At 49.3% G+C, this 20802-nt stretch overlaps 2 protein-coding genes and 1 long non-coding RNA gene across 27 annotated transcripts in view, besides 7 other annotated features; 2 read left to right on the top strand and 1 right to left on the bottom strand.

Moving 5' to 3' along the window:
* ZDHHC4 (zDHHC palmitoyltransferase 4) lies at positions 1–11921 on the top strand. Of its 19 annotated transcripts, none has more exons than XM_047420565.1 (9): positions 1–45; positions 137–267; positions 1048–1293; positions 3102–3225; positions 4154–4227; positions 4620–4798; positions 5853–5978; positions 7563–7807; positions 11164–11921. In XM_047420565.1, the coding sequence occupies exons 4-9, from the start codon at positions 3109–3111 to the stop codon at positions 11455–11457; spliced, it is 1035 nt and encodes a 344-aa protein (XP_047276521.1). In that variant the 5' UTR covers positions 1–45; positions 137–267; positions 1048–1293; positions 3102–3108; the 3' UTR covers positions 11458–11921. The 19 variants fall into 19 exon arrangements, 17 of the variants coding, with proteins under 17 accessions (XP_047276521.1, XP_047276520.1, NP_001127860.1 ...); XM_047420564.1 differs by having other exon boundaries at positions 1113–1293; NM_001134388.2 differs by having other exon boundaries at positions 1113–1267.
* Positions 21–350: a silencer, noted in NCBI's record as "silent region_17953". NCBI's record gives its function as "represses an Ori minimal core promoter by ATAC-STARR-seq in GM12878 lymphoblastoid cells {active_cell/tissue: GM12878}" and the evidence as "EXISTENCE:reporter gene assay evidence [ECO:0000049][PMID:35858748]".
* Positions 629–1244: an enhancer, noted in NCBI's record as "NANOG-H3K27ac-H3K4me1 hESC enhancer chr7:6617713-6618328 (GRCh37/hg19 assembly coordinates)". NCBI's record gives its function as "activates a minimal SCP1, AML or CMV promoter by ChIP-STARR-seq in primed H9 embryonic stem cells {active_cell/tissue: H9 hESC(primed)}" and the evidence as "EXISTENCE:reporter gene assay evidence [ECO:0000049][PMID:30033119]".
* LOC124901582 (uncharacterized) lies at positions 11470–12451 on the bottom strand. Its single transcript, XR_007060201.1, has 2 exons — positions 12007–12451; positions 11470–11772 (listed from the first exon to the last, which is right to left on the bottom strand). It is a non-coding gene; the product is annotated as an uncharacterized LOC124901582 (long non-coding RNA).
* Positions 11710–12548: an enhancer, noted in NCBI's record as "H3K27ac-H3K4me1 hESC enhancer chr7:6628794-6629632 (GRCh37/hg19 assembly coordinates)". NCBI's record gives its function as "activates a minimal SCP1, AML or CMV promoter by ChIP-STARR-seq in naive H9 embryonic stem cells {active_cell/tissue: H9 hESC(naive)}" and the evidence as "EXISTENCE:reporter gene assay evidence [ECO:0000049][PMID:30033119]".
* Positions 11710–12892: a biological region, named in NCBI's record as "H3K27ac-H3K4me1 hESC enhancer GRCh37_chr7:6628794-6629632".
* Positions 12173–12322: an enhancer, noted in NCBI's record as "active region_25631". NCBI's record gives its function as "activates an Ori minimal core promoter by ATAC-STARR-seq in GM12878 lymphoblastoid cells {active_cell/tissue: GM12878}" and the evidence as "EXISTENCE:reporter gene assay evidence [ECO:0000049][PMID:35858748]".
* Positions 12393–12892: a silencer, noted in NCBI's record as "silent region_17954". NCBI's record gives its function as "represses an Ori minimal core promoter by ATAC-STARR-seq in GM12878 lymphoblastoid cells {active_cell/tissue: GM12878}" and the evidence as "EXISTENCE:reporter gene assay evidence [ECO:0000049][PMID:35858748]".
* Positions 12568–20802, top strand: part of INTS15 (integrator complex subunit 15) — an 18706-nt gene continuing 10471 nt past the window's right edge. For 5 of the 7 annotated variants that reach the window (XR_926946.4, XM_011515518.4, XM_005249845.6 and 2 more), the window contains exons 1-3: positions 12568–13022; positions 14193–14414; positions 16982–17147. Coding sequence is in view for 6 of the 7 variants with exons in the window: in XM_011515518.4 (XP_011513820.2) it covers positions 12831–13022; positions 14193–14414; positions 16982–17147 (580 nt within the window). In the remaining variant the exon portion in view is untranslated. The remainder of the gene's footprint in view (positions 13023–14192; positions 14415–16981; positions 17148–20802) is intronic. The other 2 variants (NM_001303039.2, XM_017012614.3) reach the window with 2 other exon arrangements.
* Positions 20230–20422: a silencer, noted in NCBI's record as "fragment chr7:6637314-6637506 (GRCh37/hg19 assembly coordinates)". NCBI's record gives its function as "represses an EF-1alpha promoter that drives an FKBP-Casp9 reporter gene in an ReSE screen in K562 erythroleukemia cells {active_cell/tissue: K562}" and the evidence as "EXISTENCE:reporter gene assay evidence [ECO:0000049][PMID:32094911]".

A 20802-nucleotide genomic window follows, 5' to 3' on the forward strand; every position in this document is an offset into this window, starting at 1 on the left:
AGTCTCGTATCGCGCCCGGGAGGCGCCGGAGCCCAGCGGCTGGCGGTAAGGCCGCCTCCGCGGGGCTGTGGGAAGCTTGGGCTGTCCCAGGACCGTCAGTCTCCTCCTCTGACCCTCCCTTTCCCCTTGTGTGTAGGGCCGCCGTCCCACCCCCACCTCGCCCGAGTCCGGGGCGGCCCCGGTGTCCCCTCCGAGCCTGCTGCACTCCACGTCCCCCTACCAGGGCTCCAGCCCCCAGGGAAATCTCCGACCAGGCCCGCCCAGGAGGTGCCTTGGATGGGGGTGGCTTCGGGAGGCCCTAATGGGGAGTGGCGGGGAGAGACCCAAGGCTACCGACTTGGCTTATTTCTTCCCAACTAGCTGTTTCTCACAAAGTCTTTATTATTATTGTATTTTGAGACGGGGTTTCGCTCTTGTTTCCCAGGCTGTAGTGCAGTGGCGCGATCTCGGCTTACTGCACCCTCCGCCTCCCGGATTCAAGCAATTCTGCCTCAGCCTCCCCAGTAGCTTGGATTACAGGCATGCGCCATCACGCCCAGCTAATTTTTTTTGTATTTAGTAGAGACGGATTTCACCATGTTGGTCAGGCTGGTCTCGAACTCCTGACCTCAGGTGTTCTACCCGCCTCGGCCTCCCAAAGTGCTGGGATTATAGGCGTGAGCCACCGCGCCCGGCCTCTTTTATTGTTTTTAGAGATGGGGTCCAGCTCTATGGCCCAGGCTGGAAGGCAGTGGCACGATCACAGCTCACTGCAGCCTCGACCTCCTGGGCTCAAGCCATCCTTCCACCTCAGCCTCCCAAGTAGCTGGGACCACAGGCGCGGGCCACCACGCCCCACTGATTTTTAAATTTTTATGTAGGGACAGTGATCTCACTGTGTTGCCCAGGCTGGTCTCGAACTCTTAACCTCAAGCTATCCTCCTGCCTGGGCCTCCCAAAGATTTGGGAGCAGGCCTAAGCAACTTAGTCTGGGCCATTTCTCCCAAAGTCTTACCCATTCATGCTGGGGGTGCTGAAAATCCCCTACTTCCAAATCCTTTTCCACAGGTATTCTGCCTTTGACTGCAACTCTTGTCGTCTTATGTGGGTGTTGAATTGATCTGTCTCTGCAGCCAGATCCAGGCTCCTGGAAGAACCATGTCCGGCAGCTACTGGTCATGCCAGGCACACACTGCTGCCCAAGAGGAGCTGCTGTTTGAATTATCTGTGAATGTTGGGAAGAGGAATGCCAGAGCTGCCGGCTGAAAATTACCCAACCAAGAGAAATGTAGGCTGGGTACCCTGAATCACCCCGTGAGAATTGCTGCTGTTTGTTTACTCTCACCTATCATGTCATGAATAGCTTCTTGTTTGGTTATCTCACTTGGCATTACAGCCCAGAATCTTATCTGCTAAGGTCAAAAGTGACCAGTTCCGGTATCTTTTTTGGTTTGTTTTTGAGACAGGGTCTCATGCTGTCGCCCAGGCTTGAACTCCTGTGCTCAAGCAATCCTCCCGCCTCAGCCTCCACAGGCATGCGCAACCACACTTGGCTAATTTTTGTATTTTTTGTAGAGATGGGGGTCTCGCTTTGTTGCCCAGGCTGGTCTTGAACTCCTGGGTTCAAGTGATCCTCCCACCTCAGCCTTCCAAAGTGCTGGGAGTACAGGCACGAGCCACTACGGCCGGCCAATTCCAGTACCTTTTTTTTCTTCTTTTTTTTTCTTAAACCGCTACACTATGGAAAAGAGTTCCAGTATCCAGTGTCTTTTCTTTTTTTTTTTTTGAAACGGAGTCTCGCTCTGTTGCCCAGGCTGGAGTGCAGTGGCGCGATCTCGGCTCACTGCAACCTCCGCTTCCTGGGTTCAAGAGATTCTCCTGCCTCCACCCCCTGAGTCGCTGGGATTACAGGCATGTGCCACCACGCCCGGTTAATTTTTGTGTTTTTAGTATAGATGGGGATTACACCATGTTGGCCAGACTGGTCTCGAACTCCTGACCTCGTGATCCGCCTGCCTCGACATGCCAAAGTGTTGGGATTACAGGCATGAGCCACCACGCTCGGCCTCAGTATCCAGTATTTTAACGCAGGCCTGTGTGTTGACTCTGGTTCCAGAGGGTAATTCCTGATGGTTGTGGCCAGTGTCCTGGAGGGATGCTTCTTAGGACAGGATGCCTGATTCTGGGTGCAGGGCTCCTGACTGCCTCTAGGAGATGCTTGTTCTCAAGGCATTGTCAGCAGATTCTTTGGGGACACATCTTGTATCTTTGTGAATATTTAAGGAAGTAAAAGAATGATTCATGCCTGGGGGCAAGGAAGGAGGATGCATGTTCTTTCTTGGTTTATTTTGGATTTGCAAGTTGGAGATGCTTCAAAGGCAGGCCACAGTCTTAGGGTGTTAGATTCAAAGTTTTTATCTTGGGCAGGTGCAGTGGCTCACGCCTGTACTCCCAGCACTTTGGGAGGCCGAGGCAGGTGGATCACCTGAGTTCAAGAGTTCGAGACCAGCCTGGCCAACATGGTGAAACCTCATCTCTACTAAAAATACAAAAATTAGCCAGGCATGGGGTGCGTGCCTATAATCCCAGCTACTCAGGAGGCTGAGGCAGGAGAATTGCTTGAACCTGGGAGGCGGAGGTTGCAGTGAGCCAAGATCACGCCACCGCACTGCAACCTGGGTAACAAGAGTGAAACTCTGTCTCAAAAAAAAAAAGTTTATCTTTCTTTTTTTATTTTTTATTTTATTAAATTGAGACAGGGCCTCACTATGTTGCCCAGGCTGGTCTCGAACTCCTGAGCTCAAGCGATCCACCCACCTCTGCTTCCCAGAGTGCTGGGATTACAGGCATGAGCCACTGCACCTGGCCCAGAATTTTTATCTTGATTGAGGGAGCTCAGGACCATTTTGGAGGCCCCACTGAGAGGCAGCAGGCCTCTGTTATGTGTGCCTAAGAATTGGTGAATTCTGTTCTGTTTGTCTTTCTGCTTTTTGCTTTGAGATGTCATTAAAGTCTAGATGAATTCTGTTTTGGTAGCCATTTGGGAGTTGATGTCTGAGAATGTGTGCCATGGAAGAAACCTTTCAGTAGCAGATAGTCACACTCTTTCTGTTCCTTTGTAGCTGCAGGATGGACTTTCTGGTCCTCTTCTTGTTCTACCTGGCTTCGGTGCTGATGGGTCTTGTTCTTATCTGCGTCTGCTCGAAAACCCATAGCTTGAAAGGCCTGGCCAGGGGAGGAGCACAGGTAAGGATGATCCTTGGATGGCACTGGAATTTGAATACTGTGTTAGTCTAAGAGACTCACAGGTTTTGCTACAGGACAAAAAAGAGATGCCAGGCCGGGTGCAGTGCCTCACACCTGTAATCCCGCTACTCAGGAAGCTGAGGCAGGAGGATCCCTTGAGCCAGGAGTCTGAAGTTGCCATGAGCTATGATCACGCCACTGCACTCCAGCCTGGACTACAGAGTGAGACCCTGTCTCAACAACAACAAAAAAGATGCCACTTAACATCATTGATGGATTTAGTTCGTTGATGGCAGTTGTGGGATATTCCACAGCCTCTGTCTGTGTGGGTTTTGTGTTCCTGCTGAAAGTCCTCTTGCGGTGGTGCTTTGAGAGAAGAGGTTGCTGTTTTCCTCTGGATTAGATGCCTGTGATTGGGCATGGATGTGAGCAGGGTCCGCCTGGGGCACTTAATGGGTGACTCTGGGGGCCAGCAGAAAGCTCAGCATTGGCTGGCCCCCCTCCTTCAGGGATCAAAGTGAGCAAAACGGGGCAAGCAGCCTATGGGAAGGCATTGAGTTGGGAGGGACCTGGGCCAATGCCCAGTGATCTGGGTGTGGATGCTGGAACCTGGGATTGAACCCAGGCTGGGGAAGGAGCGGCCTTCACATTGACATTCCCCGACCCATCCCCTCTGCTCACCTCTCTTTCCCTGAAGACACTGACAGGTGCCTTCGTCAGAATCAGACTAGAAATGGAGTTGGCGTGAAAGGAAAGACCAGTAGAAAGAATTCCCCTCTTTATTCTCTGCTAAATCACTTCTTCACCCATATAGGGAAACAAAACTTACTATCACCCAGATTGCCAGCTGTATGTGGAGTGTCTGATTTGTTTGGGAGTGGAGGAAGTGAGAAATGAAATTGAGTCTTTCTCTTTCCTTTTGTTTCAGATATTTTCCTGTATAATTCCAGAATGTCTTCAGAGAGCCGTGCATGGATTGCTTCATTACCTTTTCCATACGAGGTATTTCTCTTTCAGAGTTTAAATATTCTCCTCTTTTCTGCTTTGATTATTAATTGTTGAGATCCTCTAGCTTCAGGAAGCTCCTTGTGGTTTCCAGCATGGTGAGGGAAAGAAGGCCGGAAAGAATCACGAGTCCTGAGTTGGGAGCCTCTACTCGTAGTTAATCTGCCTTTTGAGATGGAGGTTTTAACTTGCCTACTTTTAAAAAGCGATATTTACAGATTGTGAATTTCTGTTAAATACATGCAAAATGTTTCACATAGTTTTCTATGTAATTCTTACTATTATCTCAAGCCCAAAGGAAGTGGTTGGCCGTTGGTTACTTTCTTTAGTATCATACAATTTCTTCAAGAAGAAACCCCCATGAACAAGCCATGCCTGTTTTCTTTCAGAAACCACACCTTCATTGTCCTGCACCTGGTCTTGCAAGGGATGGTTTATACTGAGTACACCTGGGAAGTATTTGGCTACTGTCAGGAGCTGGAGTTGTCCTTGCATTACCTTCTTCTGCCCTATCTGCTGCTAGGTGTAAACCTGTTTTTTTTCACCCTGACTTGTGGAACCAATCCTGGTAAGTTGAGGCTCTTAGCATACAGCATGGTGACAGCTCCACTGTCTTACTAATAGTGCTGCAAACAAGGAGAGGCCCCCCCTGAGGACTTTGTAAAAGATTTGATGTGTAGCATTTTCATTACCTTTCAGTTTTGAGTGTTTTCTAATTTTTTTTTTCTTCTTCAACCCATGGGTTATTTAAAACCACTTAAAATTTTTAGTTTATCTTTTTAATGCTTTCACTTCGTTTTGTCATATATAGAGCATGTGATCGGTATGGTACTGTTCCTTTTTTTGTTTCTTAAGACGGAGTCACGCTTTGTCGCCCAGGCTGCAGTGCAGTGAGGCGATCTCAGCTCGCTGCAACCTCCGCCTCCCGGGTTCAAGGGATTCTCTTGCCTCAGACTCCCGAGTAGCTAGGACTACAGGCGTGCGCCACCACACCCAGCTGATTTTTGTATTTTTAGTAGAGATGGGGTTTCGCCATGTTGTCCAGGCTGGTCTCGAACTCCTGACCTCGTGATCCACCCACCTCAGCCTCCCAAAGTGCTGAGACTACAGGCGTGAGCCACCGCACTGGCAGAATTGTACACTTTAAATGAGTGAATTAGGTTTGTGTGTTATATCTCAATAAAGCCATTATTAAAAATGAATTGCGTGGCTGGGCGCGGTGGCTCACACAATCTCAGCCTGTTTGGGAGGTCTAGGTGGGAGGATCACCTGAGGTCCGGAGTTCCAGACCAGCCTGGCCAAAATGGTGAAACCCCATCTGTATTAACAAAAAAAATACAAAAATTAGCCACGCGTGCATTAGCACGCCTGTAATCCCAGCTACTACTCAGGAGGCTTACGTGGGAGAATCACCTGAACCTGAGAGGCAGAGGTTGCAGTGAGCCAAGATCATGCCACTGCATTCCAGCCTGGATGACAAAGTAAGACTGTCTCAAAAAAAAAAAAAGAATTACTTACGATATTAAAGATAGCAGTTTCAGTTGTGTTTTATCAGGACGGGTTTTGTGACTATCCAGTCCAAAGTATTGCACGAAACTGACATATGTCCTTACTTTTCCCAGGCATTATAACAAAAGCAAATGAATTATTATTTCTTCATGTTTATGAATTTGATGAAGTGATGTTTCCAAAGAACGTGAGGTGCTCTACTTGTGATTTAAGGAAACCAGCTCGATCCAAGCACTGCAGTGAGTGTGGCTCTCGTGACTCCAGCGGCACCTCCAACAGCACATGTGTGGGCTTCGTCTGTGAGGGAATGTTTCCTGAATCCGAAAGCAGAGCCAGTTCACCCCCAGATATGGTGTGGCCACTACTTGTAGAGTTGAGATAATGGTTTCTTTCAGATGAGTGAGGGTCAGGTCTTGTGTTCCTGTGTAGTAGACAGTCCTCATCTCTGGGCATAACAGCCCTTCCCTCGCCACGTGGCAGGACATGCTCCCCACAAGTTGTTTCTGCGGATGTTGTGTTTGCAGATTTCAGTCCTACAAAGCCTAGTCTTCTGGGGAGGGCCCAAGATTCTAGACCCGTGCTGTCTAACAAAAATAGAATGTGGCTGGGCGCAGCGGTTCATGCCAGGAATTCCAGTACTTTGGGAGGCAGGCAGATCTCTTGAGCCTAGGAGTTCAAGACCAGCTTGGGCACCATGGGGAAACCCCACCTCTACAAAAAATACAAAAGATGTAGTCCTGGCTACTCAGGAGGCTGAGGCGGGAGGATCACTTGAGCCCAGGAGATCGAGGCTGCAGTAAGCTATGATTAAACCACTGCACTCCAGCCTCAGCAACAGAGCAAGACCCTGTCTCAGAAAAAAAAAAAAAGGCCATGAATAGAAAGTTTTTAAAAATGTTTTTCAAAATGTGGCTGTGCTTGGAGACAGTTTTAATCAGGATGTTATTTAACCTACATATGTAAAATATCATTTTAACATGTAATCAATGTAAAAAATTCTTCATGAGATAGTTTATATTCTTTTTTTCATACTAAGCCTTTGAAATCTGGTGTGTATCTTACATTTATAGCACATCTTGATTTGGACACTAAATTTTCATGTGGAAATGCTTGTGTATTTAGATTTAATAAAATGTACAGTTGAAAAAGTAGGCTTACATGTGCAAGCTATATCCAGATATTCTTAAAAGTTTTCCAATATCTGAATTCGGTACCAAAAAAATAATTTTCCTTCACCATCCATGTCTACATTGACATAATGATTCATCTTAATCAGAAGAATTGACTTTAAAGCAGGAACACCAGTTTTAAAACTATGTCTATCCAAGTCAAGTAAATTAACTAACTCTTGTGTTGCCTCCATATTCACACTGAATTCAAAGGAGTATTGTAGTAAAAAGACAACTGTAAATTTGTCAGTATTGACAAAATGTCCTCTCTGTTTTTTGGTTTGTTTTTTGAGATAGGGTCTCACTCCATTACCCAGGCTGGAGTGCTGTGACGTGATCATAGCTCACTGCAGCGTTGACCTCCTGTGCTCAAGTGATCCTCCCGCCTAGCCTCTGAGTAGCTGGGACCATGGGTGCATGCCGCCACCACCTCAGATTTGTCTTGTAGTCAGATTGCAAGTGCTCAATACCCACATTTGGCTGGTTGCTCCTGTACTGGACACCACAGTTCCAAAAGCTTAGTTTGGAACTAAGCAGCTGCCATTTTCCTCTGATGACACATCCAGTGGACAGATTATGAAAATCTCAGCAGGTGTGCGGTGTCCTTGTCTCGTCAAGCACCATCCCAGCACGTGCCCCCTTGTTTCTGTGCAGGTGTGTGTAACTGGTGTGTGCACCGTTTCGACCATCACTGTGTTTGGGTGAACAACTGCATCGGGGCCTGGAACATCAGGTACTTCCTCATCTACGTCTTGACCTTGACGGCCTCGGCTGCCACCGTCGCCATTGTGAGCACCACTTTTCTGGTCCACTTGGTGGTGATGTCAGATTTATACCAGGAGACTTACATCGATGACCTTGGACACCTCCATGTTATGGACACGGTCTTTCTTATTCAGGTAATTATGCTGTAGGTTTCTGACTTCAAGTTTCAGAATCGCAAAAAAGACATTTATTTTTCCAGTAAAAGCATGAAGTTAGGTGGGGTGTGGTGGCTCACGCCTATAATCCCAGCACTTTTGGAGGCCGAGGTGGGAGGATCGCATGAGGCTAGGAGTTCAGGACCAGCCTGGGCAACACCCAAATGTCCATCAACTGATGATTGAATAACTGGTCTCCTGTAGAGACCTTGTCTCTACAAAAAATACAAAAATGAGCCAGGGCCGGGTGCAGTGGCTCATGCCTGTAATCCTAGCACTTTGAGAAGCTAAGACAAGCAGATTGCCTGAGCTCAGGAGCTTGAGACCAGCCTGGGCAACATGGTGAAACCCCATCTCTACTAAAATACAAAAAAATTAGCTGGGTGTGGTGGCACATGCCCATTGTTCTAGCTACTTGGGAGGCTGAGGCACAAAAATTGCTTGAACCCGGGAGGGAGAGGTTGCAGTGAGCTGAGATTGCACCACTGCACTCCAGCCTGGGTGACAGAGCAAGACCCTGTCTCAGAAACTAACAAACAAACGTGAAGTTTTTCCTTTTTCTAAACTGATATAAAATTCACATATTGGGCCAGGCATGGTGGCTCACAGCTGTAATCCCAGCACTTTGGGAGGCCAAGGTGGGTGGATCACCTGAGGTCAGGAGTTCAAGACCAGCCTGGCCAATGTGGTAAAACCTCGTCTCTACTAAAAATACAAAAAAGTTAGCCAGGCATGGTGGCCAGCATCTGTAGTCCCAGCTACTCGGGAGGCCGAGGCAGGAGAATCACTTGAACCTGGGAGGCGGAGGTTGCAGTGAGCCAAGATCGTGCCATTGCACTCCAGCCTGGGCAACAAGAGCGAAAGAGAGAAACTCCATCTCAAAAAAAAAAAAAATTCACATATCATAAAATTCACCCTTTAAAGTATCCCACAGTGGTATAAGTATATTCACAGACTTGTTCAGCCCTCACTACTATCTAATTTCAGAACATTTCATCATCCCCAAAAGGAAACACTCCCCATTCCCTCCTCCCCCAGACCCAGGTAATCACTAATCTACTTTCTGTCTTTCGGGATAGGCCTTTTCTGGACACTTCATATAAATGGAATCATGCAATATATGGTCTTTTCCACTGGCTTCTTTCTTGTGGCACAAGGTTTTCAGGGTTAATTCATGTAGCACGAATCTACTTCATTCCTTTTGTTTATTTGGGATGGAGTCTCGCTCTTGTTGCCCAGGCTGGAGTGCAATGGTGTGATCTTGGCTCACTGCAACCTCTGCCTCTCAGGTTCAAGCAATTCTCCTGCCTCAGTCTCCCGTGTAGCTGGGATTACAGGCATGAGCCACCACGCCTGGCTAATTTTTGTAATTTTAGCAGAGAAGGGGTTTTACCATGTTGGCCAGGCTGGTCTTGAACTCCTGACCTCAAGTGATCCACCCGCCTCGGCCTCCCAAAGTGCTGGGATTACAGGCATGAAACCCCGTGCCCGGCCTTACTTCATTCTTTTTTATGGCTGAATAGTATTCCGCTGTATGGATAGACTGAATTTTAATTATTTGTTCATCAGTTGATGGACATTTTGGTGTTTTCACTTTTGGCTATTTTTGAGTAATACTGCTGTGAACATTCATGTACAAGTTTTTTGTGTGGACATAGGTTTTTATGTTTATAAAACATGTTTTATGTTTATGTTTTTATGTTTTATGTTTATATTTCTCTTGGGTACATTCCACCTAGAAGTGGCACTGCTGGGTCATATGGTAACTTTTTTTTTTTTTTGAGACAGAGTCTCACTCTGTCACCTAGGCTGGAGTGCAGTGGTACCATCACAGCTCACTATGACCTGGACCTCCTGGGCTCAAATGCTCCCACCTTGGCCTCCCAAAGTGCTGGGATTACAGGTGTGAGCCACCATGACTGGCCCAGAATCACTTTTGATTTGAGGTCTTTATATAATAATGACGGTTAATCTTTTGTTATACTGTTTTTTTGTTTGTGGATCTTTTGGATCTTGGGAATGGGGTTTTGGGTTTTTTGGGGTTTTTTGGTATAGAAAAGTTCAGACATTCTTTCTCATCAAATTTCTTTTCTTTGTAACTTCAACAAGAAAGTCTCCTCCATCAGGAGTTTTGTTAAATGTTCTCTTTTCTTGTGACTTTCAAAAATATTAAACTTTCTAAATTCTTCATTTTGCTTATTACAAAAATAACTTACAAAACTTTAAGCAGCGCAGTTCCTATGGTCATATACCATTTACGGAGTCAGTTTTGTTTTTACCCAAACAAGATGACAGTGTAATCCTTACATCTTGCCTTTCTCATTAGTCAATATATTAAGTCTTTTCACAATCAGTACATAGAAATTGACATCATTTTTCATGGCTCCTCGTTTTCCCATTGTGTGACCATCCCAGAGTTTACCCTTCCTGACGGATGGACATTTAACTTGTTTCTTGGCCAGGCACAGTGGCTCACGCCTGTAATCCCAACAATTTGGGAGGTCAAGGCAGGAGGATCACTCAAGGCCAGGAGTTTGAAAGCAGCCTGGGCAACATAGCAAGACCCTGTTTCTATTGATTTATTTATTTATTTATTTATTTTTAGATGGAGTCTTGCTCTGTCGCCTAGGCTGGAGTGCAGTTGCACAATCTCAGCTCACTGTAACCTTCACCGCCCGGGTTGAAGCAATTCTTCTGCCTCAGCCTCTTGAGTAGCTGGGATTACAGGCTTGTGCCACCACACCCGGCTAACTTTTGTATTTTTAGTAGAGAAGGGTTTCACCATGTTGGCCAGGCTGGTGTCAAACTCCTGACCTCAAGTGATCTGCCCGCCTCGGCCTCCCAAAATGCTGGGATTATAGGCGTGAGCCATTGCGCCCGGCCCCTGTTTCTATTTATTAAGAAAAGGAAAAAAACTTCGGAAGAGGGGCTGATAAAATCAATGATACAACGAATATCCTTGTACATCTATTTTTGGGGTTGTATTGTTTTAAGAAAGACATTGATCTCTTTTGTCCATCTGGATTTTATATTGATGAATGAAGTCTGCATTTATTTTATAAATAGCTAACTGGAATAGCACATTTCCTAAGTAAACTTTCCCTTTTCCTTCAGTGTGAACACTTCATTCATCCCACAGGAAACTCTTGTATGTACTGGGATTATTCTGGGCTGCTTCTCAGTGCTGTTTATGTTCAGTTTGTCACATCTGGACACAAGTAGGTGGGCTGAGGAAGCAGCGCTGGTGGCTGTGGCAGGCCCAGGGTTGGCCAGTGTTCACTCTCATGGATGTCACAGTCCAGCTGCCTAAAGCACTACCTTTTCTCTGCTCCTAGTACCTGTTCCTGACTTTTCCACGGATTGTCTTCATGCTGGGCTTTGTCGTGGTTCTGAGCTTCCTCCTGGGTGGCTACCTGTTGTTTGTCCTGTATCTGGCGGCCACCAACCAGACTACTAACGAGTGGTACAGAGGTGACTGGGCCTGGTGCCAGCGTTGTCCCCTTGTGGCCTGGCCTCCGTCAGCAGAGCCCCAAGTCCACCGGAACATTCACTCCCATGGGCTTCGGAGCAACCTTCAAGAGATCTTTCTACCTGCCTTTCCATGTCATGAGAGGAAGAAACAAGAATGACAAGTGTATGACTGCCTTTGAGCTGTAGTTCCCGTTTATTTACACATGTGGATCCTCGTTTTCCAAGCATGGCTTGTTTGTTTTGATTTCTGCTGTGCTTATAAATCACTTTCGGTGGGCAAGGGAGAGAGGGGAAAATGGGTGTTGACTGAGGAATCCCCCTTGCTTGTCTTCTTTTGAAACCGGGCATCTCTGAAGTCCTGGTGTCAAGGGGATCAAGAGATGACTTCTCAGAGGTTCTAGGTGATGCTGAGACCTTGGTGTCTCTAAACTCTGGGCATGTGGACAGGAGGGGCTTGCGGCCGTGTCTCTGACCTGTGTGATGTGCAGGAGGGTCTCATTGACTCAGCGCCTGCGCGTTGTGCCTGGCTGTGCTCTCTTTTATGCCCCCTCTATTCTCCTCTCTCCCCCAGGGGATTTTCATCTCAACAACAGAGTGTCCTCACCCAGGCCTGCCTTCCGGCCAGTATGGGCTTGTACATCAGGCACCTTCCTGCATGTGTGGCCTCCGGCCTGCCCTCCTCTAGCCACATTCAAGTCCTTTCTCACCAGTTTAAAAATTGTGAAAGTGAACTGCCACCTATTTCAGAGGAGACATGACTGCCAGAAACGAGGTCTTGGTGCGGAAGGTCTTTGGAGTGGGAGGGCTCTCAGGTGCAGGTGGCAGGTGTTCTGCACCTTGCTAGGCCAAGGAGCCCGCAGTCAGAGAGGCTGGGAAGTGGGAGTCAGGGGCAGGGGGCCTTCCAGCCATCTTCCCCCGTACCCCCCAGCTGAGAACAGATGGAAACGTGAAGACGGGTAGCTGGGGCGGCCAGGGAACCCAAGTCCGCTGGCCGAAGCCAAAGCCCGGCACCACCCCCAATTCTTGCTGGTGGAAAGCACCGTGAAATCAACCAGCGGCAGCTCTGAACGCGACGCACAGCCCGCGAGGGAGCCTGGGCAAGGACGGAGCGGGCCTGCACCGGCGGTTGGGCGGGCTCCGGGGGCGGGGTCCACCTGGGACCGCGGCGCGCCCCTCACCGCTCGCGCCGCCAGGGGGCGCCCTCCGGAGAGCGCGCCTAGGCCGCGGCCTGCGCTTGGCCCCTGCGGGCCGCCGTCTCCGTGCCCGGCATTCGGCCGCTGTTCGGCTGCGCGGCGGCAGCTCCCGGCGGCTCCTGGCGGCGCCGCAGTCGGACCTTCGGGCGCCTGCTGGCCGGCGGCAGCAGCGATGGCCCCCTGAGCAGGCAGGGAGCAGGCGGCGGCAGGCGGGCAAGCGGGCGGGTGCCGCAGCCCAGGCCCGGGTCGCGCCTCTTTGTTTCCACGGGTAGCGGCGCAGTCCCGGGCCCCGGGCGGAAGTGAGACGCGCTCGGCGCGGGGGCCGCGGCGGCCGCACCATGAGCGACATCCGCCACTCGCTGCTGCGCCGCGATGCGCTGAGCGCCGCCAAGGAGGTGTTGTACCACCTGGACATCTACTTCAGCAGCCAGCTGCAGAGCGCGCCGCTGCCCATCGTGGACAAGGGCCCCGTGGAGCTGCTGGAGGAGTTCGTGTTCCAGGTGCCCAAGGAGCGCAGCGCGCAGCCCAAGGTGCGGCCTGAGACGGTCGGGTTCCCGGGCCCCGCAGGCGGGCGGGCGGGCCTTTTCCCCAGCGATGCAGGGCTGTGTCAAGCCGCGGGCGCCCCATGTCCAGGATCCCCGCGCTCGCGCTCGGCCTCGCTCCTGCAGCAGCCCCCAAACCCTTCTCCGGGTCCTGCAGTGTTGCTCAGCTGCCTGTCCAGTCTGCGGGGCGTGTGACAGCCGAGTCTTGGTGTTAAAGGGACAAACTGGCGACTGCCCGCTCCCTAGAGGTCTGTTGGGCTGTTACCGAAAGGCTCATCCTGAACCCTCCAGGAGGATGTATAATGATCTGTATGGCTTTCTTCTTACATCTTTTTCTTTTTTTTTTCTTTCTCTGCCTTTTTTTTTTTCGAGACAAGGTTTCACTACGTTGCCCAGGCAGGAGTGCAGTGGTGCAATCACAGCTCACTACAACCTTGAACTCCTGGGCTCAAGTAATCCTCCCGCCTCATCCTTCTGAGTAGCTGGGACTCCAGGCGTGCACCACCATGCCCAGCTAATTTTTGAATGTTTTGTAGAGATGGGGCCTCCCTGTGTTACCCAGGCTGGTCTCAAACTCCTGGGCTCAAGATTCTCTCTCCTTGGCCTCCAAAGTGTTGGAATTACAGGCGTGAGCCACAACGCCTGGCCTATATGACTTTTTTCTAAGATCAACAGCAAAGATCTCCCTGAGACCTGAGCTTTACGAAGGGCGAAAAGTTCTACGGGAACTTTACGAAGGGCGAAAAGTTCTACGGGAAAATACTGTTATTTCCTGTTTTTCTTTTTTTTTTTTTTTTTGAGACGGAGTCTCACTCTGTCACCAGGCTGGAGTGCAGTGGTGCGATCTCGGCTCACTGCAACCTCCGCCTCCCAGGTTCAAGCGAGATTCCTGCCTAAGCCTCCCGAGTAGCTGGGATTACAGGTGCGCGCCACCATGCCGGCTAATTGTTGTATTTTTAGTAGAGATGGGGTTTCACCATGTTGGCCAGGCTGGTCTCGAACTCTTGACCTCGTGATTCGCCCACCTTGGCCTCCCAAAGTGCTGGGATTACAGGCATGAGCCACCGCGCCCAGTCTATTTCCTGTTTTCTTAATGTATGAGTTAATAAGTACGTTACAGCCACATTTCTTAACGCTTTTCCGGGATTTCTTTTGCAGAGACTGAATTCCCTTCAGGAGCTTCAACTTCTTGAAATCATGTGCAATTATTTCCAGGAGCAAACCAAGGACTCTGTTCGGCAGATTATTTTTTCATCCCTTTTCAGCCCTCAAGGGAACAAAGCCGATGACAGCCGGATGAGCTTGTTGGGAAAACTGGTCTCCATGGCGGTGGCTGTGTGTCGAATCCCGGTGTTGGAGTGTGCTGCCTCCTGGCTTCAGGTACTGCTCAAGAGAGACCCTCGGCCGGGTGCGGTGGCTCATGCCTGTAATCCCAGCACTTTGGGAAGCTGAGGTGGGCGGATCACTTGAGGTCAGGGGTTCAAGACCAGCCTGACCAACATGGCGAAATCATGTCTCTACTAAAAATACAAAATTAGCCGGGCATGGTGTTGCATACCTGTAACCCCAGCTACTCAGGAGGCTGAGGCAGGAGAATCACATGAACCCGGGAGGCAGAGGTTGCAGTGAGCTGAGATGGTGCCATTGCACTCCAGCCTGGGTGACAGAGCAAGACTCCGTCTCAAAAAAAAAAGAGTCTCCCCTGAGAGTCTCTGAAGATGATTTTGCTGTTCGGAATTCTCATTTAATTAGATTTCTGGAGTGTTTTTTGTTTGTTTGTTTAAATTATTTTTTTTGGCCATGCTTAGTGGTTCACTCCTGTAATCCCAGCACTTTGGGAGGCCGAAGGGGGGCAGATCACTTGAGGTCAGGAGTTTGAGACCAGCCTGGCCAACATGGTGAAACCCTGTCTCTACTGAAAATACAGAAATTAGCCAGGCGTGGTAGCACGCGCCTGTGGTCCCAGCTACTTGGGAGGCTGAGGCAGGAGAATCGTGTGAATATGGGAGGCGGAGGTTGCCGTGAGCCGAGATTGTGTCACTGCACTCCAGCCTGGGTTACAGAGTGAGACTCAGTCTCAAAAAAAAAACTTTTTTTTTAAATTAGGGTGTGTTTTTTTTTCTTTTTCTTTTTTTTTTTCTGACAGGGTTTCAGTCTGTCACCCAGGGTGGAGTGCAGTGGTGCAATCTTAGCTCACTACAGCCTTTGCCTCCTGGGCTCAAGTGATCCTCCTACCTCAGCCCTCCAAGTAGCTGGGACCACAGGCGCACACCACCATGCCTGGTTAGTTTTTGTATTTTTTTGTAGAGACAGGGTTTCACCATGTTGCCCAGACTGGTCACGAACTCCTGAGGTCAAGCGATCCTCCTGCCTCAGCCTCCCAAAGTGCCGGGATTATAAGCATGAGCCACTGCGCCCAGCTTAAGAATAAGATTTTAAGAGAAATTTAGCAAGTACTGCTGTAAACACACATTTTCATCATGTGGCAGTTCACTGACTCTCCTGAATCTCTTCAATGTGATAGCAGCTGTTAATTTTTACCTGTGGCATCTCACCTGGGATCCTGTAGGGTACAGAAGTTGTCATTTCCTCACCTGAAGGCAGAAATGATGTTTCCTAAGTAAACTGTAAAGCAAGAGCTGGCAGATGTTTTATGTAGAGGGCGAGATAGTGAACTGTCTTCGGCTTTGCGGGTCCTGTAGTCTCTTTCACAGCTACTCACCTCTTTCCTTCTAGTGCAAGAACAGCTTTAGGCAGTAAGCAAACGAATAAGCGCGATCACGTCTCAGTGAAATTTTGTTAACAAAAACGGGTGGTGGGACAAATTTGGTCTGTGCGGTGGTTTTTTTTTTTTTTTTTTTGAGGCAGAGTCTTTCTCTGTCGCCCAAGCTGGAGTGCAGTGGCGCGATCTCGGCTCACTGCAAGCTCTGCCTCCCAGGTTCACCCTAGTCTCCTGCCTCAGCCTCTCGAGTAGCTGGGACTACAGGCGCCCACCATCAGTGGTGCCGGCCAATTTTTTTGTATTTTTAGTAGAGACGGGGTTTCACTGTGTTAGCCAGGATGGTCTCGATCTCCTGACCTTGTGATCCGCCTGCCTCGGCCTCCCAAAATGCTGGGATTACAGGGATGAGCCACCACACCCAGTCAGGTGGTGTTTTTCTGTTTTTTTTTTTTTTTTTGAGACGGTCTTGCTCTGTTGCTCATGCTGGAGTGCAGTGGTGTGACCACGGGGCTCACTGCAGACTCAACCTTCCTAGGCCCAAGCCATCCTTCCGCCTCGGCCTCCTGAGTAGCTGGGACTACAGGTATGTGCCACCATATCTGGCTAATTTTTTCTATTTTTTATAGAGATGGGTTCTTGCTGTGTTGCCCAGGCTCATCTGGAACTGCTGGGCTCAAGTGATCCTCCCGCCTCGGCCTCCCAAAGTGTTGGGATGACAGGCATGAGCCGCCGTGCCCAGCCTGGTCAGTGAGCTTCAGATTGCCCACCCCTGCTTCAGTGTAAGCCTTTAACTTTTTTTTTTTTTTTTTTTTTTTTGAGATGAAGTTTTGCTTTTGTTGCCCACGCTGGAGTGCAGTGGTGTGATCTTGGCTTACTGCAACCTCTGCTTCCCAGGTGTAAGTGATTCTCCTGCCTCAGCCTTCCAAGTAGCTGGGATTACAGGCATGCCCCACCATTCCCAGTTAATTTTGTATTTTTAGTAGAGACGAGTTTCACCATGCTGGCCAGGCTGGTCTCGAACTCCTGACCTCAGGTGATCACCCGCCTCGGCCTCTCAAAGTGTTGGGATTACAGATATGAGCCACCACACTCGGCCCCATTAACATCTTTTTTTTGTCTTGGAAGTGGTTCTGCCATTTCTGGAGGTGGTCACTGTGTGTGCATAGTTGCTGGTCTACTCACTCACGACATCTGTAGTTAAGTGGACTGTGTGGCTTCTTTCCAGCGGACGCCCGTGGTTTACTGTGTGAGGTTAGCCAAGGCCCTTGTAGATGACTACTGCTGTTTGGTGCCGGGATCCATTCAGACGCTGAAGCAGATATTCAGTGCCAGCCCGAGATTCTGCTGCCAGTTCATCACCTCCGTTACCGCGCTCTATGACCTGTCATCAGGTAAACTTTAAACAGGTTATTTCTATGGAAGAAGCTTCAGTCAATGGCTAGTTTTATTTTCCACTGAATACCCAGGTGAAGTGTCCAGTGAATGCTTTGGCTGTTTTGTCTCTGAAATGTATATTTTTATTTTTATTATTTTTTGAGATGGAGTCTGTTGCCCAGGCTGGAGTGCAGTGGTGTTATCTCAGCTCACTGTAACCTCCCCCTCCCAGGTTCAAGCAGTTCTCCTGCCTCAGCCTCCCGAGTAGCTAGGACTATAGCAGGCATGCGCCACTACTCCTGGCTAATTTTTTTGTGCGTTTTTAGTAGAGATGGGGTTTTAATGTGTTGGCCAGGCCGATCTCAAACCCCTGATCTCAAGTGATCCACCCGCCTCGGCCTCCCAAACTGCTAGGATTATAGGTGTGCACCACCGTGCCCAGCTGAGTTTTTATTTTTTATTTTTTGAGACAGGGTTTCACTCTGTCACCCTGGCTGGAGTGCAGAGGCGTGATCCCAGCTCACTGCAGTCTCTGCCCCCAAGGCTCAAGTGTTTCTCCTGCCTCAGCCTCTCGAGTAGTTGTGACTACAGGTGCATGCCACCACGCCTGGCTAATTTTTGTATTTTTTATAGAGACAGGGTTTCGCCATGTTGTCCAGGTTGGTCTTGAACCCTGAGCTCAAGCAATTCTCCCTCAGCCTCCTGAGTAGTCGGGACCACAGGTTTGCAACACCATGTCTGGCTGATTTTTTATATTTTTTGTAGAGATGGAGTTTCACTGTGTTGCCCAGTGTGGTTTTGAACTCCTGGACTCAAGCAGTCCTCCCACCTCGGCCTCCTAAAGTGTCGGCATTACAGGTGTGAGCCATTGCACCCAGCCTGAAATGTGTGTTTTTAATTTAGGTTAAAAGCTAAAGGTGTGGACCACCTGGACGTGTGCAGTTTGCTAAGAGGGAACTATTAGTGATACCCATTTGCCTGAGGTGCAATGGTCCAAGTGGCAGGCAGCCCAGAAAGCAAGCTCTAGTGTCTGTGAGATGTGACCCACTCCCTGGACATATGACTTGATTTCTTATCATCCCCATACTTTCTTTAATTTTTTTTACTTTTTTGGATATAGAATCTTGCTCTGTTGCACAGGCTGCTGGAATACGGTGGTGCAGTCATAGGTCACTGTAGCCTCAAAACTCTTAGGCTCAAGTGATACTCCCACCCCAGCCTTCCAGGTTGCTGGGACTGTAGGCACACACTACCAGGCCTGGCTGACAAAACCTGCTTTTCTGCTGCTGTTTCTGATTCCTCCTCCTCTGCCCTTGGCTGTTGCTGCTCACAGGGCTGACAAATAGTCTCTTTCTCTTCCTGGTCTGATAGCCATACCAGCACTTTGAAAGCCTTCAACAGCATCTGTCATTTTTATTCAGTCCAGTATTGGTCTCCCACCAGCCTCCTGACTATTTTTGAGCCTTCTTTTTTTTTTTCTTTTTTTGAGACAGAGTCTCCCTCTGTCGCCCAGGCTAGAATGCAGTGGCATGATCTTGGCTCACTGCAACCTCCGCCACCTGGGTTTAAACAATTCTCGTGCCTCAGCCTCCTGAGTAGCTAGCTGGGACTACAGGCGCGCACCACCATGTCTGACTAATTTTTGTATTTTTAGTAGAGATGGGGTTTCACCATATTGGCCAGGCTGGTCTCGAACTCCTGACCTCCTGATCCACCCATCTCGGCCTCCCAAAGTGCTGGGATTACAGGCGTGAGCCACTGCGCCCAGCCGAGCCTTCTTTTATCTGTCACCCTTTTTTTTTTTTTTTTTTTTGAGACGGAATCTCACTCTGCTGTCCAGGCTGGAGTGCAGTGGCATGATCTTGGCTCACCACAACCTCTGCCTCCTGGGTTCAAGAGATTCTCTTTCCTCAGCCTCCCGAGTAGCTGGGATTGTAGGTGTGCGCCACCACACCCGGCTACTTTTTGTATTTTTAGTAGAGATGGGGTTTCACCATGTTGGCCAGGTTGGTCTTGAACTCCTGACCTCAGATGATCCACCTGGCTCAGTCTCCCAAAGTGCTGAGATTACAGGTGTGAGCCACTGTGCCCGGCCACCTTTTTTCTTGTTGTTAGGTTTTGTAACTCTCTTGAGAAAGTTTGTGTGGAAATATTGTGAACATGCAAGCGCGTGCATATTCGTACGCTAATTTCTTTCTTTCTTGTTGTTTGTTTTTGGAGACAGAGTCTCGCTCTGTCGCCCAGGCTGGAGTGCAGTGGTGCGATCTCGACTCAACTGCAAGCTCCGCCTGCCAGATTCAAGCGATTCTCCTGCCTCAGCCTGTAGCTGGGACTACAGGCGCCCGCTACCACACCCGGCTAATTTTTTGTATTTTTAGTAGAGATGGGGTTTCACCGTGTTAGCCAGGATGGTCTCGATCACCTGACCTCGTGATCCACCCGCCTCGGCCTCCCAAAAATGCTGGCATTACAGGCGTGAGCCACTGTGCCAGCTGCATATGCTAATTTCATACTCTTCTTTTCCTAGCAGTTTCCTCGTGGAATGGGAGGCAGGTGTTGGGGAGCAGGGCCACGCTGCTGCAGTGGGATTTCCCTTCTCTCTCCTCCAAAGGCTTCCTAATTGCTGTTAACAGGTGGGAGTGGTATTCAGGTCTTTCATCTTCCAATAGGAAAGATTTCACTGAACCCAGCTATGGTATCATAGTTGGCTTTTTGGTTTTTTTTTTTTTGAGATGGAGTCTCACTCTGTCACCTAGGCTGGAGTGCAGTGGTGTGATCTCGGTTCATTGCAACCTCCATGTCCCAGGTTTAAGCGAGTCTCCTGCTTCAGCCTCCTGAGTAGCTGGGGCTATAGGCATGCGCCACCACGCCTGGCTAATTTTTGTATTTTTCGTGGAGTCAGGGTTTCACCCTCTTGGCCAGGCTGGTCTCAAACTCCTGACTTTAAGTGATCTCCCTGCCTCAGCCTCCCAGAGTGCTGGGATTACAGGCATGAGCCACCACACCCGACCTACCTTTTAAGTCATTGGTTATTCCAGGCCAACAAAAACAGAAACTGGCCTTACCATGGGGAAGGGATGAGTTAGCATATGGAACAGGAAAGAATATTCAGGGAATGCCACTGACACAGCACAGCAGATCTGAAACTGTTTTTCTCTTAAGCCAGTATGTCCGTTGAGATGTTGGTGATTTCTCAAGTCACTGCCACACAGCAGTGGCCCTGGAAGTCACCATCCGAATGGTGACTGAAACCGCTGTTGGGCACTTCTGGTAACAGGAGAGCATTCTTGGGGAGCCCGTGTCTTCAAAGCACAAAAAGGAAGATACCCACATAATTATATCCCCCCTTTCCTGGATGGAGCTGAGAACGTGGGACTCTAGAGACCCTAACTGGGATCCTAGAGACTGAGGACTCATGAAGCGAACATGCCAACGTGTATGATGAGGGCACACCTGCACAAGTGTGCACACGCACACATTTTCTACAGGCTGGTAGAGATGCGTCAGCTCAGATCTGAGGGGGCGGGGATACACTGGAGAGGTGGGTATGACCTGGTGTTGCCCAAACAGAAACATCTCTGTGGAATCAAGAGGCTGCACACGTGGCCGGGACGGGTGGCTCACTCCTGTAATACCAGCACTTTGGGAGGCCGAGGTGGGCGGATCACCTGC

This window comes from Homo sapiens, chromosome 7, assembly GCF_000001405.40.
Source record: "Homo sapiens chromosome 7, GRCh38.p14 Primary Assembly".
Lineage (NCBI taxonomy): Eukaryota > Metazoa > Chordata > Mammalia > Primates > Hominidae > Homo > Homo sapiens.

What these genes read in the sequence shown, in the direction of transcription:
- ZDHHC4 (NM_001371292.1), top strand. Translation starts at nt 3,109, where the DNA reads ATGGACTTTCTGGTCCTCTTCTTGTTCTACCTGGCTTCGGTGCTGATG. An exon ending in TGGCCAGGGGAGGAGCACAG is followed by an intron (nt 3,226 to 4,153) that starts GTAAGGATGATC and finishes CTTTTGTTTCAG; the next exon opens with ATATTTTCCTGTATAATTCC. An exon ending in CGGCACCTCCAACAGCACAT is followed by an intron (nt 6,024 to 7,562) that starts GTGTGGGCTTCG and finishes GTTTCTGTGCAG; the next exon opens with GTGTGTGTAACTGGTGTGTG.